Here is a 9729-nt window from a genome sequence, read left to right as displayed (position 1 = left end):
GCCCACAAGGTAGGAACCTAAACTATCTGAGTTGGAGACAAAATATTCTAATATTCCCCAAATTACAGTGCATTTTAGAATAAATTATTCAGGGGCTGGGCGTGGTGGCTCACACCTGTAATCCCAGCAGTTTGGGAGGCCGAGGCGAGCAGATAACGAGGTCAGGAGATCGAGACCATCCTGGCTAACGTGGTGAAACCCCGTCTCTACTAAAAATACAAAAAAATTAGCCAGGCGTGGTGGCAGGCGCCTATAGTCCCAGCTACTTGGAAGGCTGAGGCAGGAGAATGGCGTGAAGTGGGAGGCGGAGCTTGCAGTGAGCCGAGATCATGCCACTGCACTCTAGCCTGGACGACAGCAAGACTCCGTCTCAAAAAAAAAATAAAATAAAATAAAATAAATTATTCAGGGCTGTCATTCCATAGAGTAAAACCTAAATAACTCTAATACCTAAAAGTAGTGACAAAAATAAATACTCATATGAAAATGCACTATTATTATTATTATTATTATTTTTTTTTCAGACAGAGTCTCACTCTGTCGCCCAGGCTGAAGTGCAGTGGTGCGATCTCGGCTCACTGTAACCTCCACCTCCCAGTTCAAGTGATTTTCCTGCCTCAGCCTCCCTAGTAGCTGAGAGTACAGATGTGTGCCACAACCCACAGCTAATTTTTTGTATTTTTAGTAGAGATGGGGTTTCACCATGTTAGCCAGGATGGTCTCGATCTCCTGACTTCGTGATCCACCCGCCTTGGCCTCCGAAAGTGCTGGGAATACAGGCGTGAGCCACCATGCCCAGCCAAAAATGCACTATTATTTACTTATTATGTTTTATTTTCTCCTACTGAGCTGTGAAAGGTCCATTCCTTGAGTTATGAGGAAAGGAACCTATAGATTAGAGACTGGGAATATGATGGGATCAACTGTTAAGAAATTTGGGAGTCCTCAGAACCTGTGGGTACAGTAAAAAGAAAACGACTTTAGGGCAGAGACAGTTTAATGTAGCTAAAGAGGCAGTTTTCGATTTATGAGTGAACAACTCTGCTTCTGGGTAATGTAGTAGGAAGGACCGGATAAGCCTCCAGGTGGGAGTTCAGGTGGGTACAAGGCAGTTTTCTCGGTCACATCCCATTCATTGAATTATTCTTCTTTATCTGACACAGAAGAGCTTTTACTGCATTGCCTTTTTGTGGTATGCAGTGAGTTTTCATCAAACAATACAAGAGAAGGAGCTGGGTGCGGTGGCTCATGCCTGTAATCCCAGCACTTTGAGAGGCCAAGGCGGGTGAGTTCGAGACCAGTCTGGCCAAAATTGTGAAACCCAGCCTCTACTAAAAATACAAAAATTAGCTGGGCATGGTGGCGTGTTCCTGTAGTCCCAGTTACTCGGGAGGCTGAGGTAGGAGAAATGCTTGAATCTGGGAGGTGTAGGTTGTGGTGAGCTGAGATCGTGTCACTGCACTCCAGCCTGGGCAACAGAGTGAGACTCCGTCTCCAAAAAAAAAAAAAAAACCCAAGCGAAAATCTCACTAAATGTTACTACTTCTGCTATAAGGATATTAGTAAAAACAACTCTCACATATCCTATATAAGGCCCTTTATAGTATGTCCCCTATTAAGGTCCAATAGAAGAAATTTAATTCATAGTTAACTTCTCATAAAAAATTCTCTCCCCTCCCCATCTCCCCTGACAAGGATATGGAATGTTTCCCTCTTATATGGAGAACCATGTCGCTTTTTACTTGCAGCAGAGCCACAAAAATCCCTATGCATGGCCTACAAGTCTACATTTGACTATTTTCCCTCTATCCTAGAATTTTTTTTTTTCTTTTTGAGACAGAGTCTCACTCTGTCACCCAGGCCAGAGTGCATGGTGCCATCACAGCTCACTGCAGCCTTGCTTTCTGGGCTCAGATGATGCTGCCACCTCAGCCTCCCAAGTAGCTGGGACTACAGGAGCACACCACAACACCTGGCTAATTTCTTTTACATCTTTTATAGAAACTAGGTTTCGCCATGTTGCCCAGGCTGGTCTCAAACTCCCGGGCTCAAGCGATCCACTCACCTCAACTTCAGAAAATGCTGGGATTATAGGGATGAGCCATTATGCCCGGCCCCTATAATTTTTGAAAAATTATTTTTCCTTACTTCTAATTAAAACTAAAAGTAGGCCAGGCACAGTGGCTCACACCTGTAAGCCCAGCACTTTGGGAGGCCGAGGTCGGTGGATCACCTGAGGTCAGGGGTTCAAGATCAGCCCAGCCAAAATGGTGAAACCCTGTCTCTACTAAAAATACGAAAATTAGCCAGGTGTGGTGGTGCAGGCCTATAGTCCCAGCTACTCTGGAGGTTGAGGCAAGAGAATCGCTTGAACCTGGGAGGTGGAGGGTGTGGTGAGCCGAGATCGCACCACTGCACTCCAGCCTGGGTGACAAAGTGAGACTCCATCTCAAAAAAAAAAAAAAAAAAAAAAAAAAAAAAAAAAAAAAAATATATATATATATATATATATATATATATATATATATACACATATATATACACACTTTACTATTAAAGTGGTTCTGTGTATTTCTTGTGTCAAATCATTTGTGGAATGAGTTTATATTAATAAATAATTAGGCCACGCTTGATGGCTGACGCCTGTAATGCCAGCACTTTGGGAGGAAGAGGCAGGCAGATCGTTCGAGCCTAGGAGTTTGACACCAGCCTGGCCAACATGATGAAACCCCATCTCTACAAAAAATACAAAAAAAAGCCAGGTATGGTGACGTGCACTTGTAGTCCTAGCTACAAGCTGAGGCAGGAGGATCATCTGAGCCTGGACGTCAAGGTTGCAGTGAGCTGTTACTATGCCACTGCACTCCAGCTCCAGTGATAGAGACAGACCTTGTCTCTAAATAAATAAATAAGAGTTACATCGTAGCTTTCAAAGAATAATATAGAACCTGATTCAAACACTTTGCTTCTTCAGAAACCATGGGTGCTGGCAGCGACATCTTGAACAACAGAATTTTGGGTGAATGAGAATTGGGCACCGGAATGTACCATAAACAGTGGATCTACTTAAGACCTTTTACTCAACAAATGGACTCACTGTAGTCTCCTAATCTTTAAATTCCTTGAGGTGAGAACAGTGTCTCATTCACCACTATTATTCAGTGTCTAGTTACACCATGCTCATTCTGAAAGAATACCTTAAGTTGGCCGGGCACAGTGGCTTATGCCTGTAATCCCAGCACTTTGGGAGGCTTAGGCGGGCGGATCACCTGAGGTCAGGAGTTTGAGACCAGCCTGGCCAACATGGTGAAACCCCGTCTCTACTAAAAAAAAATAATAATAATACAAAAATTAGCCGGGCATGGTGGCAGGTGCCTGATATCTCAGCTACTCGGGAGGCTGAGGCAGGAGAATCGCTTGAACCCAGGAGGCGGAGGTTCCAGTGAGCCGAGATCGCGCCACTGTACTCCAGCCTGGGGAACAAGAGCGAGACTTCGTCTCAAAAAAAAAAAAAAAAAAAAAAAAAGAATACCTTAAGTTTATAACCTAAGATGGCCTTACATTTTAAGTCAGTGTTCTTAAAAATCACTTTAATACACAATTTAGAAATATCTTTCCTGGGAAATGAGAATTTCACTTAAAGAAAAAAAACACAGTTCTTTTTTTTTGGTACATACGATTCTTGCTGCAGACATGTTGCATGGCCCAAACTGCCCATAGCTGAACTCCTGGTGTTGTGAAACAGCCAAGTAATGGGAAAAATGGATTAAAGGACCTAAAGGTTCAAAAGAAAAGAATCAAAGTTACATCCCATATTTAGCGTAATTTCCTAAAGCAGTGATTCCTAAACTTTTCATTTTCAAAATTTTATCCTATTATATTTAGACTAATATAAATGAGCTATAGAATATCATTTCTTTGTCTTAACCATTTCAGAGAAGACTGCATTCAGACATGACTCAGTACAGAAGATGGAAGGTGATTAGAACATGGTAGTGAAAGAGAAAAAATTTTTCCAAAAGCACTTTTTAGTCTTAAAGATACACATTTGAAGATAAGTAGATCTTGGTTTGGAAACTAAGAAATAGAGAAATTAGGTGATAACTAACTAGTAGAACACTATGAAAAAGATGTATAATTATCCCTTCTATTTTCTACTGGTCTGAATAAAAATAGGTGGAACATAAGTTGGAGAAATAAAAAAAATGTTGGCAACATCAGCATTTATGAACCAAACAAAAAAAATAAGTTGAATAAAAATTAAATACTTCAGGTAATTAGTAATTTAATTATCAAGTTATCTAATTACAAACAGAGTTAGGCATCCAGTATGCACTTCTTAATTTTTGTTATTTATTTATTTATTTATTTTGATACGGAGTCTCGCTCTGTCGCCCAGGCTGGAGTGCAGTGGCGCGATCTCAGCTCACTGCAACCTCCGCCTCCTGGGTTCACGGCATTCTCCTGCCTCAGCCTCCCAAGTAGCTGGGACTACAGGCGCCTGCCACCACGCCCGGCTAATTTTTTTGTATTTTTAGTAGAGACGGGGTTTCACCACGTTAGCCAGGATAGTCTCGATCTCCTGACCTCGTGATCTGCCCGCCTCGGCCTCCCAAAGTGCTGGGATTACAGGCATGAGCCACCATGCCCGGCCTATTTATTTATTTTTACATTTATTTATTTATTTGAGACAGGGTCTCACTCTGTTGCTCAGGCTGGAGTGCAGTAAGGCGATCTCAACTCATTGCAGCCTCAACCTTCCAGGCTCAAGCGATTCTCCCACCTTAGCCTCCCAAGCAGCTTGGACTACAGGGATGTGCCACCACAACTGGCTAATTTTTTATTTTTTGTAGAGACGGGGTCTCACTATGTTGCTCAGGCTGAGCTCAAGTGATCTACCTGCCTTGGCCTTCCGAAGTGGTGGGACTACAGGTGTATGCCATCATGCCCAGGTTTTTTTATTTTTTAGTAGAGATGAGGTCTCACTATGATGCCTAGGCTAGTCTGCAACTCCTGAACTCAAGTGATACTACCACCTCAGTCTCTCAAAGTGTTGGGATTATAGGTGTGAGCCACCATGCCAGGCCCAGTATGCCCTTTAATAAATTATTACAAACTGTTTCCCCAACCAAATCTAGTGTTATTCCTTTTTTGAGAGTCTCATTCTGTCACCCAGGCTGCAGTGCAGTGGCGCCATCTCAGCTCACTGCAACCTCCACCTCCCAAGTTCAAGCGATTCTCATGCCTCAGCCTCCCAAGTAGCTGGAATTACAGGTGTGCACCACCATGCCCCACTAACTTTGTTCTTTCAGTAGAGACAGGGGTTTCAACATGTTGGCCAAGCTGGTCTCGAACTCCTGGATTGAAGTGATCCACCCACCTCAGCCTCCCAAAGTGCTGGGATTATAGGCATGAGCCACAATGCCTGGCCCAAATCTGGTGCTACTTCTAATTCCTTCAATGTGTCATTTTATTTTAGACCTTCCTACATTAATACGATGCTTTTTCTTCCTAAAAATCTCCTGCCTCTCCTTATCTTTCAACACTCAGGTCACAACTCACTTCCTCTGAAAGGTGTGTGTGTGTGTGTGTGTGTGTGTGTATTTACATTTGGAGTCTTGCTCTGTCACTCAGGCTGGAATGCAGTGATGCAATCATAACTCACTGCAGCCTCAAACTCCTGGGCTCAAGTGATCCTCCCAGGACTACAGGTATGTGCTACCCCACTGGGCTTCACCTTTAATTTCATAACATTCTATGGACATTTGGCATAACGGTATTTTATCTGATCCACATTCACTCTCCCTCACAAGGATATAAAATTCTTGTGTGCAGACACCATGTCTTTGTTCATTTTTGTATTTCAAGAGCATAGAACAAATTCCTAGCACTTGTCTTCAACAAATGTGAAATGAAGGAAACATGAAGAGTGATAGGTGGTAGAAAAAAGTCAAAATACTTTGCTTCTTTTAAAGCCAATACTTTTGGCTGGGTGTGGTGGCTCACGCCTGTAATCCCAGCACTTAGGGGGGCCCAGGCAGGCAGATCACCTGAGGTCAGGAGTTCAAGACCAGCCTGGCCAACATGGTGAAACCTCGTCTCTACTAAAAATACAAAAATTAGCGGGGCGTGGTCGTGGGCGCCTATAATCCCAGCTACTCGGGAGGCTGAGGCAGGGGAATTGCTTCAACCTGGGAGGTGGAGGTTGCAGTGAGCCAAGATCATGCACTGCACTCCAGCCATGGCGACGGAGTGAAACTCTGTCTCAAAATAAATAAATAAATAACCAATATTGAGGTGCCTGAGGGAAAAATTATGCATCTAGTAGGAATGACTCTTAGGAATGATCTCTAGACTAGGTTGCTGGTTTACTGTTAATTATGATACTAATTACCTGTATGCTACCATCTCACACTCTGGAGTTGGCCATTTCAAAATAGCTGAATGCTGGAAGACAAAAGACACACAAGAAAGGATTACAATATTTATTTAGCACTGCATTATTTACTACATTATGAGGCTTTGATAGTTTAACCACTATGAATGTCTTTTGTTGGTATGGAATGACCCTACCAAATCATCCAGCAGAGAATTCCTCTGGCTACGACTCAATGTCCAAGCTTGTTCACCTCTGGATATTAAATGGGCAATAATTCCAGCTGCAAAGTAACTGACTTCCACTTCCACACTGTGTAGGAGACTACTGATGTGGTCTATAAAATCTTTCCACATTAATTCAGAATGTAATTCTTGTACTTCAGCTATATTGTTCTGGAAAAAAAAAAGAAAATATAAAAATTAATGTAATATGTATAGTAAATGGTTAAGATAACTGTTTTTAGGCCCTGGATAACAGGCAATTCAGGAAGGTGAAAGAAAAGTATTTCCCTGAGAGAAAGTATTCAAATGAGGGCAGTTTACAGACTGCAATGAAGGTAAGAGTAAGCCAAAGACAAAGTAGCAGTTTTGTTGAAACAGAGATCATAGTTTAGGGTGGTCAAGCAGCAAAACTCTGTAGAACAGAGTGCTGGAAAGGACAAAGCTCCACACTCAGAGACAGAGCACACATGACCTGTACCCCAAATCTCTGGCTCAGTAATGACAAGGGTGAAACTCCAGGAGGCTAGGGAAAGAACTACCAGAAAGTAGTATATGAATAAATCCTAAAGTCACACAGGGATAGGAGTAGTTCACATTTCCACTAGCCAGACTCAAGAGACCTTATAATAAGCAAAGTATTTGATAGTAGTAGGGCTAAATTATATATGAACCGTAGGGTAAAGTCTGATAAGACGCCACTCTAACAAAACAAATAAATAGGGCTGGGTGTGGTGGCTCATACCTGAGAGGTTGGGAGTTTAAGACAAGCCTGGCCAACATGGAGAAAGCCCGTCTCTACTAAATACACAAAAATTAGCCAGGTGTGGTGGTGCATGCCTGTAATCTCAGCTACTTGGGAGGCTGAGGCACGAGAGTCACCTAAACCCGGGAGGCAGAGGTTACAGTGAGCTGAGATCCCACCACTGCACTCCAGCCTGGGAGACAGAGTGAGATGCCATCTCAAAACAAACAAACAAACAAACAAACAAACAAACCCAAAACAGCCAAGCATGGTGGTTCATGCCTGTAATCCCATCACTTTGGGAGGCTGAGGCAGGCAGATCACCTGAGGTCAGGAGTTCGAGACCAGCCTGGCCAACATGGAGAAACCCCATCTCTACTAAAAAAATAGAAAAATTAGCTGGGCGTGGTGTCATGTGCCTGTAATCCCAGCTACTCGGGAGGCTGAGGCAGGAGAATTGCTTGAACCTGGGAGGTGGAGGCTGCAGTGAGTGGAAATCGTATCACTGCACTCCAGCCTGGGCAACAGAGCGAGACTCCGTCTCACAAAGAAATAATAATAAAAATAAAATAAAATAAAATAACACATAAACAAGCTTCAAGAAGAGCAACTTGATCTGCAAGTAACTGCATGCAAGAACAAAGTATAAGACTCTTTAGAGAAAAATAATAAAACCTAGCAATCACCAAGTTACATTTCACAAGGACCGGCATCCAATAAAAAAATTACCAGGCATACAAAGGGGCAGAAAAATATGATTCATAACCAGGAGAAAAATCAATCCAAAGAAATGGACTAAAAAATAACAGAGATAATAGAATTAGCAGACAAGGACTTAAAGCAGCTATTATAAATATTATAAATATAATTCAGACATAAACATGAAGGGAGAAAATGAAGACATAAGAAAGACCTAAATGTAAATTTTTTTTTTTTTAGATGGAGTCTCGCTCTCGCCCAGGCTGGAGTGCAGTGGCGCGATCTCAGCTCACTGCAAGCTCCGCCTCCCAGGTTCACACCATTCTCCCGCCTCAGCCTCCCGGGTACCTGGGGCTACAGGCAACCGCTACCATGCCTGGCTAATTTTTTTGTATTTTTAGTAGAGACGGGGTTTCACCATGTTAGCCAGGATGGTCTCAATTTCCTGACCTCGTGATCCGCCCGCCTTGGCCTCCCAAAGTGCTGGGATTACAGGCATGCGCCACCGCGCCTGGCCAACCTAAATGTAAATTATAGAAATTAAAAAAAAAACAAAACTAAGTATCTGAAAAGCAAAATATATTGGATGAGATTAACAGCAGATGAGATGCTTCCGGAAAAACAATCAGTGGACTAAACAACAGAGAAATAAAAAGCATCCATGGCAGGGCATGCTGATTTACACCTGTAATCCCAGCACAGGAGGTTGAGGTGGGAGGATCACTTCAGGCCAGGAGTTCAAAACCAACCTGGGCAACATAGGGAGACCCTGTCTCTATTCACACACACAAAAAGAAATAGAAACCATCCAAATCAAAGCACAGAAGAAAAAATCAGACTGGGGAAAAAAGCCAATAGTGGAGTTCTGGGACCTGTGGGATAATGTCGAGAAGTCTAACATGCTTATAACTGAAGTCATAGAAGAAGCAGAGATTAGAGAGGGTATGAAAAAAGGTATTTGCAGAAATAATGGCCAAATTTTTGCAAAATGTGATAAAAATTATAAACCCAAAGATTCAACAGAAAAAAATTGTCCACTTAGACTTCAATAGCCAACCAAAAATTTATCATTCAAAAAATCAAAGCAAAATAAAAAACTTTGTTAGGTAAACAACACGTGAGTGAGAAGTCATTGCTAGCACACCTATAGGATAATAAATGTAAGAAAAGAATAGAATGAGAAATGTGAGTAAATATGAAAGATAAATTTCTCTTTTTTTTTTTTTTTTTTTGAGACGGAGCCTTGCTCGGTCGCTCAGGCTGGAGTGCAATGGCAGGATCTCAGCTCACTGCAACTTCCGCCTCCTTGATTCAAGTGATTCTCCTGCCTCAGCCTCTGAGTAGTTGGGATTACAGGCAGCCACCACCATGGCCAGCTAATTTTTATATTTTTAGTAGATACAGGGTTTCGCCATGTTGGCCAGGCTGGTCTTGAACTCCTGACCTCAGGTGATCCGCCCGCCTTGGCCTCCTAAAGTGTTGGGATTACAGGTGTGAGCCACCCTGCCCAGCCAATTTCTTGTTTTTAAATTGAGGAATGATGAGCACTCCTGCTTCTGGCCAAGGTGGAGTAAAAACAGATTTACACATCTGCCTGAAACAACTAAAAAATCCAAATAAATATGGAAAAACAGTTCTCAAGATACTGGTCACAAGCAATAAAGGACAGTGACTCTCAGTGTCCTTTA

At 42.5% G+C, this 9729-nt stretch overlaps 1 protein-coding gene across 3 annotated transcripts in view, besides 1 other annotated feature; it reads right to left on the bottom strand.

Annotated features, from left to right (window-relative positions):
* The window catches only part of ZYG11B (zyg-11 family member B, cell cycle regulator), a 100884-nt gene that overhangs the window by 7030 nt on the left and 84125 nt on the right, over positions 1 to 9729 (bottom strand). For all 3 annotated transcript variants that reach the window (NR_199864.1, NM_001441954.1, NM_024646.3), the window contains 3 exons: positions 6574 to 6771; positions 6395 to 6447; positions 3678 to 3775 (listed from right to left, as the gene is read on the bottom strand). Coding sequence is in view for 2 of the 3 variants with exons in the window: in NM_001441954.1 (NP_001428883.1) it covers positions 3678 to 3775; positions 6395 to 6447; positions 6574 to 6771 (349 nt within the window). In the remaining variant the exon portion in view is untranslated. The remainder of the gene's footprint in view (positions 1 to 3677; positions 3776 to 6394; positions 6448 to 6573; positions 6772 to 9729) is intronic.
* Positions 5476 to 5770: an enhancer, noted in NCBI's record as "tiled region #11599; HepG2 Activating DNase matched - State 14:Gen5'". NCBI's record gives its function as "activates a minimal TATA promoter and a strong SV40 promoter by Sharpr-MPRA in HepG2 cells {active_cell/tissue: HepG2}" and the evidence as "EXISTENCE:reporter gene assay evidence [ECO:0000049][PMID:27701403]".

Source organism: Homo sapiens, chromosome 1 (assembly GCF_000001405.40).
Source record: "Homo sapiens chromosome 1, GRCh38.p14 Primary Assembly".
NCBI lineage: Eukaryota > Metazoa > Chordata > Mammalia > Primates > Hominidae > Homo > Homo sapiens.
The sequence above is the reverse complement of the archived record's forward strand: the minus strand, read 5'-3'. Positions and strand labels throughout refer to the sequence as shown.